This window comes from Homo sapiens, chromosome 15 (genome assembly GCF_000001405.40).
Source record: "Homo sapiens chromosome 15, GRCh38.p14 Primary Assembly".
NCBI classification, from domain to species: Eukaryota; Metazoa; Chordata; class Mammalia; order Primates; family Hominidae; genus Homo; species Homo sapiens.
Genome location: NC_000015.10, coordinates 20,093,239 through 20,111,598, shown reverse-complemented (window position 1 = coordinate 20,111,598; position 18,360 = coordinate 20,093,239). Strand labels below are relative to the sequence as shown.

The 18,360-nt window shown below is 49.8% G+C and overlaps 1 pseudogene, besides 5 other annotated features; it reads left to right on the top strand.

The window, feature by feature from the left end:
* Window positions 5,859-6,379: an enhancer, noted in NCBI's record as "H3K27ac-H3K4me1 hESC enhancer chr15:20310473-20310993 (GRCh37/hg19 assembly coordinates)". NCBI's record gives its function as "activates a minimal SCP1, AML or CMV promoter by ChIP-STARR-seq in naive H9 embryonic stem cells {active_cell/tissue: H9 hESC(naive)}" and the evidence as "EXISTENCE:reporter gene assay evidence [ECO:0000049][PMID:30033119]".
* Window positions 7,941-8,461: an enhancer, noted in NCBI's record as "H3K27ac-H3K4me1 hESC enhancer chr15:20308391-20308911 (GRCh37/hg19 assembly coordinates)". NCBI's record gives its function as "activates a minimal SCP1, AML or CMV promoter by ChIP-STARR-seq in primed H9 embryonic stem cells {active_cell/tissue: H9 hESC(primed)}" and the evidence as "EXISTENCE:reporter gene assay evidence [ECO:0000049][PMID:30033119]".
* Window positions 8,462-8,981: an enhancer, noted in NCBI's record as "H3K27ac-H3K4me1 hESC enhancer chr15:20307871-20308390 (GRCh37/hg19 assembly coordinates)". NCBI's record gives its function as "activates a minimal SCP1, AML or CMV promoter by ChIP-STARR-seq in primed H9 embryonic stem cells {active_cell/tissue: H9 hESC(primed)}" and the evidence as "EXISTENCE:reporter gene assay evidence [ECO:0000049][PMID:30033119]".
* Window positions 8,982-9,503: an enhancer, noted in NCBI's record as "OCT4-H3K27ac-H3K4me1 hESC enhancer chr15:20307349-20307870 (GRCh37/hg19 assembly coordinates)". NCBI's record gives its function as "activates a minimal SCP1, AML or CMV promoter by ChIP-STARR-seq in primed H9 embryonic stem cells {active_cell/tissue: H9 hESC(primed)}" and the evidence as "EXISTENCE:reporter gene assay evidence [ECO:0000049][PMID:30033119]".
* Window positions 9,575-10,363: an enhancer, noted in NCBI's record as "H3K27ac-H3K4me1 hESC enhancer chr15:20306489-20307277 (GRCh37/hg19 assembly coordinates)". NCBI's record gives its function as "activates a minimal SCP1, AML or CMV promoter by ChIP-STARR-seq in naive H9 embryonic stem cells {active_cell/tissue: H9 hESC(naive)}" and the evidence as "EXISTENCE:reporter gene assay evidence [ECO:0000049][PMID:30033119]".
* RN7SL584P (RNA, 7SL, cytoplasmic 584, pseudogene) lies at window positions 15,570-15,866 on the top strand (annotated as a pseudogene).

Genomic DNA, 18,360 nt, shown 5'->3' with positions numbered 1-18,360 from the left:
AACAAGATCTATCTTTGATTTAGGATATGAAGAATTCTTATAAGCAACCCCCCCACACACACAATTTGTATTTATCTTAAAATATTCTTAAAATATGGGTTCTTTTATTTTTGCACAAACAGACAAGAGTGTTTTTTCTTTCCAAAACTTTTATTTCAAATTCTGACCCTGAGGAGGAGAAAAAGAAGAAAACATTGTGTAACCTTATATACATTAGAAACATAGGTAGTTACTAAATGCAATACAGATTTTGACAATATGCATTTAGGAAAAATGAGGAATTCAAACTCGTAGCTGCCTCAATATTGAACTTTCTAATGTTTAATTTTTTTTAATTAAAAAGTATTCGTTTGGATTCAATATGTATGGATCTCCAGGGCAGAAATGTCTCTCCAAAAAGTGAACCACTCTGAAAATCACCGTCATTTGGGAAAGGGTGATGCCCCAGGTGTCTTCTGAAAAATAGCAGAGGCTTCCGGCCAGTGGGATGTCTCTCTCTTTCCCTGAGGCCGAAATGTCAGGGAATTTTTCTTCCCCACCCCTAGGAGCCCAGTAAACGGGGGATATTTCAGAAGGATTTGCACAGGGTCCTGGCTTCTGCTATTTATGAGCTCCATGGATTCTTGGCTCAGGCTTGTGATCAGCTCACCTGCTCCAGAATCACTTCCCGTCTTAGCTTCTGGGCTAAGACACCTCAAAACCAGCAAAGGAAAGTCCTCACTGGTCAACGTGTCCATCCCAACTCCCCCATCTCCCCTTAGGGTGGGTTTGGGGTTCGGGACTGCTTTACTGTTCCTTTCAAAGCAGACTGGGAGGTAAGATTTTATTCTGCTTCCAGAGGTTCAGGATTTCTGCAGACGGTCAGCAACTCTTTGCATCCTACTGGTAAAAGTTTTATATACTTTGTATTTATATAAATATGCATTGTGTATATTTTATATGAATAGATTGATATAAATATATTTTATTAACTTAACCATGTGACTTTTATATTTTTATATAAATAAAGTTATATGTAGTGTATATGTAAAATACACTTTTATTTGTAATACATAATTTTATAGATTAAATTTAATATATTAAGCAAAAATATATGTAATATATATAACATATAACATCATTTATATAATATGTAACTTAATGTAAATAAGTATATAAAATTATTATTATATTTGTTAATACATAATTATGCATATATACTATGTAAAAATAAAATTACATATTGTATATGCATAATTATATTTCTATAAATACAATTATATACTATATATAATTATGTACAAAATAATTGTATAATAAAATTATATAATAAATTTTGAAACGTTATAAATTATTATACATAGTATTTTATTGTATTAAATTTAGAAATGTGTTATATGTTTTATTATAATAAATGTAGATTATATAAAATTTTATTTATAATAAATTATCTTATGTATAATTATAATATGAGAAAATAATTATATATCATTGTATTATAATAAATTTAGAAATGTTATACATTATTATATATAAAATTTCATTATATTAAATTTAGAAATATATGCAATAAAATGGTATTAAAATTTTTATGTAACATTTTATACATGTATAATTTTATAAAATGTTTTATAATATATAGAATATAAGTACACAGCATATAAGTACAAAAATATTTATATACAGCTACACGTAATATAAATACATCAGTGTAAGATGTTTTGTGTGTGTGAGATGGAGTCTCGCTCTGTTGCCCAGGCTGGAGTGCAGCGACACGATCTCGGCTCACTGCAACCTCTGCCTCCTGGGTTCAAGCGATTCTCCTGCCTCAGCCTCCCGAGTAGCTGGGATTACAGGCATGCACCACCACACCCAATCAATTTTTGTATTTTTAGTAGAGATGGGGTTTCACTGTGTTAGCCAGGATGGTCTCAAACTCCTGACCTCAGGTGATCCACCCGCCTTGGCCTCCCAAAGTGCTGGGATTACAGGCATGAGCCACAGTGTAAGATACTGGCTATTAAAAAATAAATAAATATATATATTGCAACAGCTGATTTGTCTGGAAGAGTCTGGTCAGAAGACAGGTATTAAGAAGACTGTGAGTCCCCAGAGGAATATAAGAATATACATCATGTTGATATATTATATATAACATAAATAGCTAACTACATCTGTGTATATAGTATAAACAAAAGTACAAAAATATTTGTATATAACTATATGTAATATAAATATATCAGTGTAAGATATTAGCTATTAAAAAATATATATATAGAGAGAGAGAGAGCAACCAGTGATTTGTCTGGAATATTCTAGTCAGAAGACAGTGTATTAAGAAGACAGTGAGTCCCCAGAAGAATATAAGAATATACATCATGTTAATATATTATATATAACATAAATACCTAACGACATCTGTATATATAGTATAAACATAAACTACAAAAATATTAGTATGTAACTATATGTAATATAAATATATCAGTGTAAGATATTAGCTATTAAAATATACATATGTGCGTATGTATGTGTATATGTGTATATAAATATTATATATATATATATAGTAACAGCTGATTTGTGTGGAAGACTTTGGTCAGAAGACAGTGTATTAAGAAGACAGTGGGTCCTCACAGGAAAATAAGAATATACATCATGTTTATATTACATATAACATAAACAACTAATTACATCTGTATATACAGCATAAACATAAAGTACAAAAATATTTGTATATAATCATATGTAATATAAATATACCAGTGTAAGATATTAGCTATTAAAATATACATGTGTGTATGTATGTGTATATGTGTATATATAATATATATATACATATATAACATATATAATATATAAGATATAGCATAATAATATAATATATTATATATAATATGTAATGTATATTATATAATTAATATATAATATATAATATATTCTATGCTATATAATATATTATATATTCTATGCAGTAAAATATATAGCATATATATATATATATATATATATATAGCAACAGCTGATTTGTCTGGAAGAATTTGGTCAGAAGACAGTTTATTAAGACAGTGAGTCCCCAGAGAAATATAAGAATATACATCATGTTTATATTATATATAACATAAATAGCTAACTACATCTGTATATATAGCATAAACATAAAGTACAAAAATATTTATATATAATATAAATATATCAGTGTAAGATATTAGCTATTAAAAAAAAAATATATATATATAGCAACCGGTGATTTGTCTGGAAGACTGGTCAGAAGACAGTGTATTAGGAAGACAGGCAGTCCCCGCAGGAAGCATGGTGCAGGTGGGATCTGGAGGTGACTCTGGGCTGCCAGAAGACGCCCTACTGCTTTGCGGCAGACACAGGTGGAGAGGTCCTCTCTGTAGCTTCAGCGTGGACACTGTGTGTGTCTTGTTGTGGGAACACTTCTTTCTGCTTCCCTCTCCACTGTGACCATCACACTCACTGACCTGCCCTCCTCCTTCCTCTCGCTCTCTGGGGCCCCTGTGGAAAGAGGGTCTTCCCTCCATGCAGCAGGAACCCCCAGGACCCTCCCCATTCTCCTGGGTTCTGAACTTCAGGGACATGTGATCCTACCTGACCGGGCACAGGCTCTGTTCACCCTCAGGAACCCCTGTCCTCCCAGGACACCGTGGACTGGAGAACTGGCCTCCTGAAAATCCAGAGAGAACTTAGCACTCACAACTTCTTTTTTTCTTTTTTCTTTGAGACGGGATCTTGCTCTGTCCCCCAGGCTGGAGTGCAATGGCATGATCTCAGCTCACTGCAACCTCCTCCTCCCAGGTTCAAGCAGTTCGTCCTGCCTCTGTCTCCCGAGTTTCTGGGATCATAGGCATCCACCCCTGCAGCCAACTAATTTCTGTATTTTTAGTAGAGACGGTGTTTCACCATGTTGGCCAGGCTGGTCTCGAACTCTTGACCTCAAGTGATCCACCCACCTCGGCCTCCCAAAGTACTGGGATGACATATATTAGCATGATGTATATTATTCTATTCCTCCGGGGACTCACTGTCTTCTTGGGCAGTAAACCACTGTGCCCGGACTTCTCTGTCCACATCTACACACGTCTAAACCTCTGTAGATTCTGAATTGTTTTTCCTTTGCACAGAATGAGAGGAACTGAAGTCGGGAGGCCCAGCCCCAACATGGTCCCTCTGGCTCTGTGCTCAGGCGGTTTATGGCTGACAAGGACTTGGGGGGTTGAGGGCTTCCTATCAGCCCAGGAGACATTACCCGGGTCTGGGAAGCCTGCTCTGCACTTGTGGGTCTCGAATTGTCTGTTGCATTTACCTGCCTCATTATTTTTTCTCCCTGTCTCTCTTCTTACATATTTCTTTCGAATTTGGAGCTTGTTTTTCTTAACTACAATCAACCTGAATCATTACTGCATATATAAATATAAATTTTATATTGAGTAGACATTATATACTCAATCTATTACACATTCCAACACGGGCCATATCTAAGATGAATATATTTAATGTTTAAAATATGTTTACATTTCATATGGAAAAATATATTTATATTTAATATATATGTGTATATTTAATACAGGAAATACATATTTATATTTAATATATAAAATATATATTTATATTTGACATAAAAATATATGTTTATATTTAATATGGGAAATATATGTTTATGTTTAATATACAAAATACATGTTAATATTTAATATAGACAATGTATAGTTATATTTACTATCCAAAATACATGTTTATATTTAATATAGAAAATGTTTATATTTAATGTACAGAATACATATTTATATTTAATATAGAAAATACATATTTATATTTAACATATACAGTATTTATATTTAATGTATAAAATATGTTTACATTTAATGTGCTGAATATATGCTTATATTTAATGTCTAAAATGTCTATATTTAATGTATTGTATACATTAAATGTACCAAATGTATTCTTATATTTAATGTATACAAGATGTTTATATTTAATGTATATGTTTACATTTAATGTATAAAATGTTTATGTTTGATGTATAAAAGATGTTTATATTTAATGTATACAATGTTTATATTTAATGTACCAAATATATTATATTTAATGTCCAAGCCAGCCAAGCAAGCCAAGCCAGTCAGCCAAGCCATCCAAGCCACCCACCCAGCCAAGCCAGCCAAGTTAGCAAGCTAGCCAGCCAGCCAAGCCAGCCAAGCCAGCCAGCCAGCCAGAAAAACCAGCCAAGCCAGCCAGCCAGGAAAGCCAGCCAAGCCAGCCAACCCAGCCAAGCTTCCAGCCAGCCAAGCCAGCCAAGCCAACCAGCCAGCCAAGCCTGCCAGCCAGCCAAGCCAGCAAAGCCAGCCAGCCAGCCAAGCCAGCCAGCAGGCCCAGCCGCCCCAGCCAGCCAACCAGCCCAACCAGCCAAGAAAGCCCAGCCAGCCAGCCAAGACAGGAAAACCAGCCAGCAAAGCCAGCCAAGCCAGTCAGCCAAGCCAGCCAAGCCACTCAGCCAGGCAGGTCAGCCAAGCCAGCCAAGCCAGCCCAGCCAGCCAGCCAGCAAAGCGAGCCAGCCAGCCAGCCAAGCCAGCCAAGCCAATCAAGCAAGCCAAGCCAGCCAGCCAGCCAGGCCAGCCAAGCCACCTAGCCAGCCAAGCCAGCCAAGCCACCCAGCCAGCCAAGCCAGCCAAGCCACACAGCCAGCCAAGACACCCAGCCAGCCAAGCCTGCCAGCCACCCAGTCAGCCAAGCCAGCCATGCCAGCCAGCCAGCCAAGACAGCCAGCCAGCCAAGCCAACCAAGCCACCCAGCCAGCCAAGCCAGCCAGCCAGCCAGCCAGCCAGTCAGGCAGCCAAGCCAGTGGACCGCCCAGCCAGCCAAGCCAGCCAAGCCACCCAGCCAGCAAAGCCAGCCAAGCCACTCAGCCAGCCAAGCTGGCCAAGCCACCCAAACAGTCAAGCCAGCGAAGCCAACCATGCCAGTCAGCCAGCCAAGCCAGCCAGCCAGCCAAGCCAGCCAAGCAACCCAGCCAAGCCAACCAGCCAGCCAAGCAAGCCAAGCCAGCCAGCCATCCAAGCCAGTCAAGCCAGCCAAGCCAGCCAAGCCAGCCACCCAGCCAAGCCAGCCAAGCCAGCCAGCCACACAGCCAGCAAAGCCAGCCAAGCCAGCCAGCCCCCCAAGCCAGCCAAGCCAGCCAGCCACCCTAGCCAGCCAAGCCACCAAAGCCAGCCAAGCCAGCCAAGCCACCCAGCCACCCAGCCTAGCCAGCCAAGCCAGCCAAGCCAGCCAGCCCCCCAAGCCAGCCAAGCCAGCCAGCCACCCTAGCCAGCCAAGCCACCCAAGCCAGCCAAGCCAGCCAAGCCACCCAGCCAGCCAAGCCAGACAGCCACCCAGCCTAGCCAGCCAAGCCACCCAAGCCAGCCAAGCCAGCCAAGCCACCCAGCCAGCAAAGCCAGACAGCCACCCAGCCAGCCAAGCCAGTCAAGCCACCCAGCCAGCCAAGCCAGCCAAGGCAGCCAGCCAGCCAAGCCAGCCAAGCCACCCAGACAGCCAAGCCAGCCAAGCCACCTAGCCAGCCAAGCCAGCGAAGCCACCCAGCCAGCCAAGCCAGCCAAGCCACCCAGCCAGCCAAGCCAGCCAGCCACCCAGCCAGCCAAGCCTGCCAAGCCACGCAGCCAGCCAAGCCACCCAGCCAGCCAAGCCAGCCAGCCACCCAGCCAGCCAAGCCAGCCAAACCACCCAGACAGCCAAGCCCGCCAGCCACCCAGTCAGCCAAGCCAGCCATGCCAGCCAGCCACACAAGACAGCCAGCCAGCCAAGCCAGCCAAGCCAGCCAGCCGTGTAAGCCAGCCCAGCCGGCCAGCCAATCCAGCCAAGCCACCCAGCCACCCAAGCCAGCCAAGCCAGCCAAGCCACCTAGCCAGCCAAGCCAGCGAAGCCACCCAGCCAGCCAAGCCAGCCAAGCCACCCAGACAGCCAAGCCAGCCAAGCCACCTAGCCAGCCAAGCCAGCGAAGCCACCCAGCCAGCCAAGCCAGCCAAGCCACCCAGCCAGCCAAGCCAGCCAGCCACCCAGCCAGCCAAGCCTGCCAAGCCACGCAGCCAGCCAAGCCACCCAGCCAGCCAAGCCAGCCAGCCACCCAGCCAGCCAAGCCAGCCAAACCACCCAGACAGCCAAGCCCGCCAGCCACCCAGTCAGCCAAGCCAGCCATGCCAGCCAGCCACACAAGACAGCCAGCCAGCCAAGCCAGCCAAGCCAGCCAGCCGTGTAAACCAGCCCAGCCGGCCAGCCAATCCAGCCAAGCCACCCAGCCACCCAAGCCAGCCAAGCCAGCCAAGCCACCCAGCCAGCCAAGCCAGCCAGGCACCCAGTCAGCCAAGCCAGCCATGCCAGCTAGAAAGCCAAGACAGCCAGCCAGCCAAGGCAGCCAACCCACTCAGCCAACCAAGCCAGCCAGCCAAGCTAGGCAAACCAGCCAGCCAGCCAAGCCACCCAGCCAGCCAAGCCAGCCAAGCCGGCCCAGCCAGCCAGCCAGCAAAGCCAGCCAAGCCAGCCAGCCAGCCAAGCCAGCCAAGGCAGCCAAGCCAGCCCAGCCAGCCAGCCAGCCAAGCCGGGCAAGCCAGCCAGCGAGCCCAGCCAGCCCAGCCAGCCCAGCCGGGCAAGCCAGCCAGCGAGCCCAGCCAGCCCAGCCAGTCAGCCAGCCAAACCAGACCACCAGCCAAGCCAGCCAGCCACCCAGCAAAGCCAGCCACCCAGCCAAGCCAGCCAAGAGAGCAAAGCCAGCCAAGCCGGTCAGTCAAGCCAGCCAAGCCAGCCAAGCCAGCCAACCAGCCAGACAGCCCAGCCAGCCAGCCAGCACAGGCAGCTAAGCCAGACAAGCCAGCCAACCAGCCAGACAGCCCAGCCAGCCAGCCAGCACAGGCAGCCAAGCAAGCCATGCCAGCCAGCCAGCCAAGCCGGCCAAGACAGCCAGCCAGCCAACCCAGCCAAGCCAGCCAAGCCTGCCAGCCAGCCAAGCCAGCCAAGCCACCCAAGCCAGCCAGCCAAGCCGACCAAGCCAGCCAAGCCAGTAAGCCAGCCAAGCCAGCCAAGCCAGCCAGCCAGCCAAGCCAGCCAAGCCACCCAGCCAGGCAAGCCAGCCAAGCCACCCAGCCGGCCAAGCCACCCAAACAGTCAAGCCAGCGAAGCCAACCATGCCAGTCAGCCAGCCAAGCCAGCCAGCCAGCCCAGCCGGCCAAGCCAGCCAGCCAAGCCACCCAGCCACCCAAGCCAGCCAAGCCAGCCAAGCCACCCAGCCAGCCAAGCCAGCCAGGCACCCAGTCAGCCAAGCCAGCCATGCCAGCTAGAAAGCCAAGACAGCCAGCCAGCCAAGGCAGCCAACCCACCCAGCCAGCCAAGCCAGCCAGCCAAGCTAGGCAAACCAGCCAGCCAGCCAAGCCACCCAGCCAGCCAAGCCAGCCAAGCCAGCCCAGCCAGCCAGCCAGCAAAGCCGGGCAAGCCAGCCAGCGAGCCCAGCCAGCCCAGCCAGCCAAGCCGGGCAAGCCAGCCAGCGAGCCCAGCCAGCCCAGCCAGTCAGCCAGCCAAACCAGACCACCAGCCAAGCCAGCCAGCCACCCAGCAAAGCCAGCCTCCCAGCCAAGCCAGCCAAGAGAGCAAAGCCAGCCAAGCCGGTCAGTCAAGCCAGCCAAGCCAGCCAAGCCAGCCAACCAGCCAGACAGCCCAGCCAGCCAGCCAGCACAGGCAGCTAAGCCAGACAAGCCAGCCAACCAGCCAGACAGCCCAGCCAGCCAGCCAGCACAGGCAGCCAAGCAAGCCAAGCCGGCCAAGACAGCCAGCCAGCCAACCCAGCCAAGCCAGCCAAGCCTGCCAGCCAGCCAAGCCAGCCAAGCCACCCAAGCCAGCCAGCCAAGCCGACCAAGCCAGCCAAGCCAGTAAGCCAGAAAAGCCAGGCAAGCCTGCCAGCCGGCCAAGCCAGCCAAGCCAGCCAAGCCAGCCAAGCCAGCCAGCCAAGCCAGACAAGCCAGCCAGCCAGCCAAGCCAGCCAAGCCAGCCAGCCAAGCCAGCGAAGCCAACCATGCCAGTCAGCCAGCCAAGCCAGCCAGCCAGCCAAGCCAGCCAAGCCAGCCAGCCAAGCCAACCAGCCAGCCAAGCAAGCCAAGCCAGCCAGCCATCCAAGCCAGCCAAGCCAGCCAAGCCAGCCAGCCAGCCAAGCCAGCCAAGCCAGCCAGCCACCCAGCCAGCAAAGCCAGCCAAGCCAGCCAGCCCCCCAAGCCAGCCAAGCCAGCCAGCCACCCTAGCCAGCAAAGCCACCCAAGCCAGCCAAGCCAGCCAAGCCACCCAGCCACCCAGCCTAGCCAGCCAAGCCAGCCAAGCCAGCCAAGCCAGCCAGCCCCCTAAGCCACCCAGCCAGCCACCCTAGCCAGCCAAGCCACCCAAGCCAGCCAAGCCAGCCAAGCCACCCAGCCAGCCACCCTAGCCAGCCAAGCCACCCAAGCCACCCAAGCCAGCCAAGCCACCCAGCCACCCAGCCTAGCCAGCCAAGCCACCCAAGCCAGCCAAGCCAGCCAAGCCACCCAGCCACCCAGCCTAGCCAGCCAAGCCAGCCAAGCCAGCCAGCCCCCCAAGCCAGCCAAGCCAGCCAGCCACCCTAGCCAGCCAAGCCACCCAAGCCAGCCAAGCCAGCCAAGCCAACCTGCCAGCCAAGCCAGACAGCCACCCAGCCTAGCCAGCCAAGCCACCCAAGCCAGCCAAGCCAGCCAGGCACCCAGTCAGCCAGCCAAGCCAGCCATGCCAGCTAGAAAGCCAAGACAGCCAGCCAGCCAAGCCAGTCAAGCCACCCAGCCAGCCAAGCCAGCCAGCCACCCAGCCAGCCAAGCCAGCCAGCCACCGAGGCAGCCAAGCCAGCCAGCCAACCAAGCCGGCCAAGCCACCCAGCCATCCAAGCCGGCCAAGCCACCCAAACAGTCAAGCCAGCGAAGCCAGCCAAGCCAGTCAGCCAGCGAAGCCAACCAAGCCAGCCAGCCAGCCAAGCCACCCAGACAGCCAAGCAAGCCAAGCCAGCCAGCCATCCAAGCCAGCCAAGCCAGCCAAGCCAGCCAGCCCACCAACCCAGCCAAGCCACCCATCCAGCCAAGCCAGCTAGCCAGCCAAGCCACCCAAACCAGCCAAGCCAGCCAGCCATCCAAGCCAGCCAAGCCAGCCAGCCAGCCTAGCCAGCCAAGACACCCAAGCCAGCCAAGCCAGCCAAGACACCCAGCTGGCCAAGCCAGCCAGCCACCCAGCCAGCCAAGCCAGCCAAGCCAGCCAAGCCAGGCAAGCTAGCCAAGCCAGCCAAGCCAGCCAGCCAGCCAAGCCAGCCTAGCCACCCATCCTGCCAAGCCAGCCAAGCCACCCAGCCAGCCAAGCCACCCAAGCCACCCAGCCAGCCAAGCCAGTCAAGCCACCCAGCCGGACAAGCCGGCCAAGCCAGCCAGCCAGCCAAGCCGGCCAAGCCTGCCAGCCAGCCAAGCCGGCCAAACCAGGCAAGCCAGCCAATCCAGCCAAGCCTGCCAGAGAGCCAATCCAGCCAAGCCTGCCAGAGAGCCAAGCCAGCCAAGCCAGCCAAGCCACCCAGCCAGCCAAGTCAGCCAGCCACCCAGCCAGCCAAGCCAGCCAGCCACCCAGGCCGGCCAAGCCAGCCAGCCAGCCAAGCCGGCCAAGCCACCCAGCCAGCCAAGCCGGTCAAGCCACCTAGTCAGCCAAGCCAGCCATGCCAGCCAGCCAGCCAAGACAGCCAGCCAGCCAAGCCACCCAAGCCACCCAGCCAGCCAAGCGAGCCAGCCATGCTAGCCAAGCCAGCCAGCCAGCCAAGCCATCCAGGCCAGCCAATCCAGCCAAGCCTGCCAGCCAGCCAAGGTAGCCAAGCCAGCCATTCCAGCCAAGCCTGCCAGCCAGCCAAGCCAGCCAAGCCAGCCAGCCAGCCAGCCAAGCCAGCCAAGCCACCCAGCCAGCCAATCCAGCCAAGCCTGCCAGCCAGCCAAGGTAGCCAAGCCGGCCAGCCAGCCAAGCCAGCCAAGCCACCCAGCCAGCCAAGCCAGCCAAGCCAGCCAGCCAACCAAGCCAGCCAAGCCAGCCATTCCAGTCAAGCCTGCCAGCCAGCCAAGCCAGCCAAGCCAGCCATTCCAGCCAAGCCTGCCAGCCAGCCAAGCCAGCCAATCCAGTCATTCCAGCCAAGCCTGCCAGCCAGCCAAGCCAGCCAAGCCAGCCAGCCAGCCAGCCAAGCCAGCCAAGCCACCCAGCCACCGAAGCCAGCCAGCCAGCCAGCCAAGCCACCCAGCCAAGCCAGCCAGCCAGCCCAGCCACCCAAGCCACCCAGCCACACTCCATCTGAAAAAAAGAAGCACTCCATCCAGCCTGGGCAGTAGAGCGAGAGTCCATCTCCAAAAAAAAAAAAACAAAACAAAACACCAGCCTGGCCAATATAGTGGAACCCCGTCTCTAATAAATATACAAAAAAATCAGCTGGGCGTGGTGGCACACGCCTGTAATCCCAGCTACTTGGGAGGCCCAGGCAGGAAGATCTGTTGAACCCGGGAGGTGGAGGTTGCAGCGAACCAAGATTGCACCACTGCACTCCAGCCTGGGCAACAGGGCGAGACTCCCTCTCAGAAAAAAAAAAAAAAAAAAAAAAAAAAAAGACCAGCCTGGCCAACTTGGTGAAACCTCGTCTCTACTAAATATACAAAGAAATTAGCTGGGCGTGGTGGCACACACCTGTAATCCCAGCTACTCAGGAGGCCCAGGCAGGAGGATCGCTTGAACCCGGGAAGTGGAGGCTGCAGCAAGCCAAGATTGCACAACTGTACTCCAGCCTCGGCAACAGAGTGAGACTCCATCTGAAAAAAAAGAAGCACTCCATCCAGCCTGGGCAGTAAAGCGAGATTCCATCTCCAAAAAAAAAAAAAAACCAAAAAAAAAAAAAAAAAACACACCAGCCTGGCCAACATGGTGAAACCCCGTCTCTACTAAATATACAAAAAAATTAGCTGGGCGTGGTGGCACAGGCCTGTAATCCCAGCTACTCGGGAGGCCCAGGCAGGAGGATCACTTGAACCCAGGAGGTGGAGGCTGCAGCGAGCCAAGATTGCGCCACTGTACTCCAGCCTGGGCAACAGAGTGAGACTCCATTTCAAAAAAAAGAAGCACTCCAGCCTGGGCAACAGAGTGAGACTCCATCTGAAAAAAAGAAGCACTCCAGCCTCGGCAATAGAGCAAGACTCCATCTCAAAAAAATAAGAGAAACACCAGCCTGGCCAACATAGCGGAACCCTGTCTCTAATAAATATACAAAAAAATTAGCTGGGCGTGGTGGCACATGCCTGTAATCCCAGCTACTCAGGAGGCCCAAGCAGGAGGATCGCTTGAACCCTGGAGGTGGAGGTTGCAGTGCACCAAGATTGCACAACTGCACTCCAGCCTGGACAACAGAGCCAGACTCCATCTCAGAAAAAAAAGAAAAAAGAAAAAAAGACCAGCCTGGCCAACATGGTGAAACCCCGTCTCTACTAAATATACAACAAAATTAGCTGGGCGTGCTGGCACACGCCTGTAACCCCAGGTACTCAGGAGGCCCAGGCAGGAGGATCGCTTGAACCCGGGAGGTGGAGGTTTCAGCGAACCAAGATTGCACCTCTGCACTCCAGCCTGGGCAACAGAGCAAGATTCCATCTCAGAAAAACAAAACAAACAAACAAACAAAAAAAAGACCAGCCAGGTCAACATGGTGAAACCCCGTCTCTACTAAATATACAAGAAAATTAGCTGGGCGTGCTGGCACACGCCTGTAACCCCAGCTACTCGGGAGGCCCAGGGAGGAGAATTGCTTGAACCCGGGAGTTGGAGGTTGCAGCGAACGAAGATTGCACCACTGCACTCCAGCCTGGGCAACAGAGCAAGATTCCATCTGAGAAAAAAAAAAAAAAGACCAGGTTGGCCAACATGGTGAAAACCCGTCTCTACTAAATATACAAGAAAATTAGCTGGGCTAATTTTAGTTATCACATCTGTAAAATGGCACTAAGTTACAGGGATATTGTCCAGATGAATGTGTCTGGTACATAGTAGCAATAAAAAAGACGTTAGCTGGCCAGGCATGGTGGCTCACGCCTGTTATCCTAACAATTTGGGAGGCCAAGGAGGGTGGATCACTTGAGGCCAGGAGTAGGAGACCAGCCTGGCCAACACAGTGAAACACTGTCTCTACTAAAAATACAAAAATTAGCTGGCGAAGTGGCTTGTGCCTGTAATCCCAGCTACATGGGAGGCTGAGGCAGGAGAATTGCTTGAATCTGGGAAGTGGAGGTTGAAGTGAGCTGAGATTGGGCCATGGCACTCCAGCCTGGGCGACAGAGCGAGATTCTGTCTCAAAAAAAGGGAAACATTAGCTAACATTACCCTCAGCATGGATATTCCTACCAGTCTGATGTTCTGTTTTAGGTACTTAGTACCATAATAGCCTCATTGTTGGAGCACTGACTATGTTCCAGGTACTACGCTAAGTGCTTCACAAGCATTGTTTCATTTCATCCTCCCAACATCTCTCAAATAGGTACTAGCACTGTCCTCACTATTCAGGGGAGAAGTCTGCAGTTCAGAGGGGTGAAGTGATTCCTCTAAGACTGCATAACTTGTAAGTGGCAGAGCTAGGACCTGTCAGACTCTAAGAGCTTCATACCACACCTACAGGAAATATCTAGCAGCCAGTTCCATGCTCAGTTTCTTGAAGCATGAGATTCCAGGCCCCTAATATGGCACATAACTGTGGGCAATAGAGGCCTCAATTCTCCCATCTGAACCATGAGGAAGGTCCCCCCGCCCTGAATCCCCTACAGGGCTGAGAGGAGGGCTCTGGAAACCTTGAAAAGGACTTTGTAGACTCTGAGCTGGGCACCCTCAAAGGCTTGGTTAGGAAGGAGACAAGAGAAAGAATTAATCCACTTCCTGCCAAGGAAGCCAAGAGCTGAAGGAGAAATGGTCCGTGTCCTCCTCCAGGGCCTGCCCCTTAGCATGGTTCCTCCCTGTTAGGAGGGTTAAGAACTTGGCCAAGTCTCAGCTCCACTCATCTCTGGCTGTATGTTCTTTGTACTTCCCCTCTCTGAGTGTCGGGCTTCTCAACTGTGAAATGGGGGTGATAATGATAACAGCCTTACCAGGACTGTAGTAAGGACAAGCCTTGGCCCATCGGTTCATTGTCTTAGTCTGCTCCTGTTGTTATAACAAAATACCTCAGACTCAGTAATATATAAACAACAGAAATATGTTGCTCATAGTTCTAGAGGCCGAGAAATCCACGAACAAGGCGTCAGTAGATTGGGTGTCAATGAGGGCCTGTTCCTCATAGAGGACGTCTTCTATGTGTCCTTACATGGTAGAAGGGGTGAACAAACTCCCTCAGGCTTCTTTTATAAGGGCACTAATCCCATTTATAAGGATGGAGCTTCATGAAGTGATCGCCCCCAAAAGTCCCACCTCTTAATACTACCACATTGCAGATTATGTTTCAATATATAAATTGGAGGAGACACATTGAGACACATGGATATTGGTTGAATAATTATCTTTTTTTTAATTTTTTTATTATTTTTTGAGACAGAGTCTTACTCTGTTGCCTAGACTGGAGTGCAATGGCACGATCTTGGCTCACTGCAACCTCTACCTCCTGGATTCAAGTGATTCTTCTGTCTCAGCCTCCCAAGTGTCTGGTATTACAGATGCATGCCACCACGCCTGGCTGATTTTTGCATTATTAGTAGAGGCAGGGTTTCACCATGTTGGCCAGGCTGGTCTCAAACTCCTGACTTCAAGTGATCCACCCACCTCGGCCTCCCAAAGTGCTGGGATTACAGGCATGAGCCACCATGCCTGCCCTGAATAATTATCTTTTGACACCTGGTCTGCAATTCTCATGGAGTTTCCGGTCTGGAAGAAGAGTCTGTATGTAATGTGTTTGGCACAGGTAGGTGCCCAATGGGTGGGTAGATGGATGGATGGATGGATGGATGGGTGGATGGATGAGATGAGTGACTTACTGCAGGTCTCACAGTTATAAAGTAACTCTTCCTGATAGCTCACACTGGCCACCAAAGACACATTAAACACTGATTTGAGAGGTACTCTGTGGACCAAATTACATGAGCAAAGTCTTAGAATTAGGAATTATTGCAGCATGGATGAGAGGCACTCATTTTATGTTCTCTTTCAGTATTTTTCCCAACAAGATCCTGAGAAGGAGGATCTGGATGGAGGTTCTGCCAGAGCCTCCTGGAGCAGAGCCAGGAGGTTGAGTAGGGAGTTGCGCCCCACAGCCCATATGAGCAGGCAGGAGCAGGCCAAGCCTGAGGGTTGGGCCTCAGAGGCCTGGTCTGGCCGTATTTGGTTTTCAAGGAACTGGAAGGCTTCTCACCTCCTCTGCTGTCCAGGCACAGAAGCAAGGCCACCCACAGTTGCTGAGTCAGGGAGGCCCCTAGGGCAGGAACAGAGGCCCCACAACGGGGTAACTTGAACACAGTGGTTCAGAGCCTGGTCTCTTAGTGTCAAGAAGATATGGTGCCGGGAACAGTGGTGTGTCCCTGTGGTTCCTGCTCCTCAGAAGGCTGAGGCAGGAGGATAAGCCTAGGGATTCTTGAGCCCAAGAGTTCTAGGCTGTAGTGTGCTATATTGATCGAGTGTCTGTGCTAAGTTCAGCTTCAATATGGTGACCTCCTGTAAGCAAGGGTGTCTAAGGAGGGGTGAACAGGCCCAGGATGAAAATGGAGCAGGTCAAAACTGTGCTGATCAGTGGAGGGATTGTGACTGTGAATAGCCACTGCATTCCACCCTAGACAACATAGTGAGACTCCGTCTCTAAAAGCAAATAAATAGGCTGGGTGCAGTGGGCTCACGCCTGTAATCCCAGCACTTCAGGAGGCCAAGGTGGGCGGATCACTTGAGGTCAGGAGTTCAAGACCAGCCTGGCCAATATGGCGAAACCCTGTCTTTACTAAAAATATAAAAATTAGCTGGTCATGATTTCATGTGCCTGTGGTCCCAGCTACTCAGGAGGCTAAGGCAGGAGAATCACTTGAACCTGGGAGGCAGAGGTTGCAGTGAGCCGAGATCACATCACTGCACTGCAGCCTGGGCAATGAGTGAGAACCTATCTCAAAAAAAAAAAAAATTAAATTAAATTTAAAAATGTAAGTAAATAAGTAAATAAATAAATAAATAAATAAATAAATAAATAAAAGCTGTGGGTTCAAATCCTGCTCAACAACCAATAGCTGTGTGCCTGGCCTACATATCACCTATCAGAGCCTTTGTTTTTTTAATCTGTAAAAACAACAAAAATAGCAGTAAAAACAAGCACCATTACTGAGTTCATTATGTACAAGCCTCTGCTAAGCACCTTACCTGCATTATCTTATTTAATTGTCATCACAGTAAACAAGTTTTATTATTGTCCTCGTGAAACAAAATACATGAGAACAGTGTCTCTCATCCATGCTGCCATAATTTCTAACCCAAGCCGTTGCTCATGCAGTCCCATCTACCTGGAGTGTATCTCTCTTTTTTTTTTTTGGAGACGGAGTCTTGCTCTGTCTCCAGCTGGAGTGCAGTGGCACAATCTTTGCTCACTGCAGCCTCTGCCTCCCGGGTTCCAGAGATTCTCCTGCCTCAGCCTCCCGAGTAGCTGGGATTACAGGCAAGTGCCACCACACCTGGCTAATTTTTGTATTTTTAATAGAGTCGGGGTTTCACCATGTTGGCCAGGCTGGTCTCAAACTCCTGTCTTCAGATGAGCCACCTACCTCGGCCTCCCAAAGTGCTAGGATTACAGGCATGAGCCACTGCGCCCAGCATGTAACCAACTCTTATGCAACCTTCAGTGTTCAGTGTAAGGTAACCAAAAAGTTACTTCCTGACTCTGAGACCTGGATTTCCAAATGAGGAAGCTGAGGCACACAGGGTGAGATCACATTCAAGTAAGAGACAGAGCTAGAGGCTGGGTGCAGTGGCTCACACCTGTAATCACAGCACTTTGGGAGGCTGAGGCGGGTGGATCACCTGAGGTCGGGAGTTTGAGACCAGCCTGATCAACATGGAGAAACCCTGTCTCTACTAAAAATACAAAATTAGCTGGGCATGGTGGCGCATGCCTGTAATCCCAGCTACTCGGGAGGCCGAGGCAGGAGAATCGCTTGAACCCGGGAGGTGGATCCCAGCTAGTCAGGAGGCTGAGGCAGGAGAATCGCTTGAACCCGGGAGGTGGAGGTTGCCGTGAGCCGAGATCACGCCATTGCACTTTACCCTGGGCAACAAGAGTGAAACTCCGTCTCAAAAAAAAAAAAAAAGACAGAGCTAGGAAGTGCTTACAACTTCCTCATGCTTACCTACATTTCAATTTCTGTTATTGAATCTTTTCCCCCTCAAATATACCCTATCAGCTTCTATTTTATTTTTATTTTTTGTGATGGAGTCTTGCTCTGTTGCTCAGGCTGGAGTGCAGTGGTGCGATCTTGGCTCACTGCAACCTCCACCTCCCACGTTCAAGCGATTCTTCTGCCTCAGCCTCCTGAGTAGCTGGAATTACAGGCACATGCAATGACACTGGGCTAATTTTTGTATTTTTAGTAGAGATGTGGTTTCACCATGTTGGCCAGGCTGGTCTCAAACTCCTGACCTCAGGTGATTCACCCACCTCAGCCTCCCAAAGTGCTGGGATTACAGACGTGAGCCACCGCGCCTGGCCTACATTTTTTTTTAAGTGCTGTCAAATGCATACCTTCTACTTTTCTTCAATAAATGTCAACTCTTTACCCATTATGTGCCAGTCCCTGTGGGGTGTGCCAAGCAGAAAAAGCACTGATCTAAGATGTGTGGCTCAGTTATGTGTAGATCCATGACCTTGCTGGGCTTTAGGATCCTTATCTATAAAATGGATATCATTATATCTTACCAGTAAGAACTGCTGAGGATAAAGGCAGACCGTACTTGTGAAAGTGTTCTGTAATACAAACTAGGGTTGTTCATTTTCCTTCTGCAGTGCTCAGCTCTGGCCTCACCTCTCCTGTTTGCATTTTCCGTTTCCTTCCTGCCTGTGTTCAGGCCTGCAGACTTCTGTCTGTCCTCCCTGGTCTAACTCCCTTATCCTACTTGCCAAGCCTTACTGTGATGTCATTTAATAAATTCTGGAGACACAAGGAGTGCCTCGTAGAGATGGACAATTTCCTTCAGTAGTCTCCTGCTGTTTTTAGAGTTGCCTCCAGGTGCCTGGGCCTGTGGGTGTTGGGCAGGAGAACCCTCCTCCCATGGCAGAAATAAGTGGGAGAAGTAGGGATTGCCTTCCTCCAATAATAATGC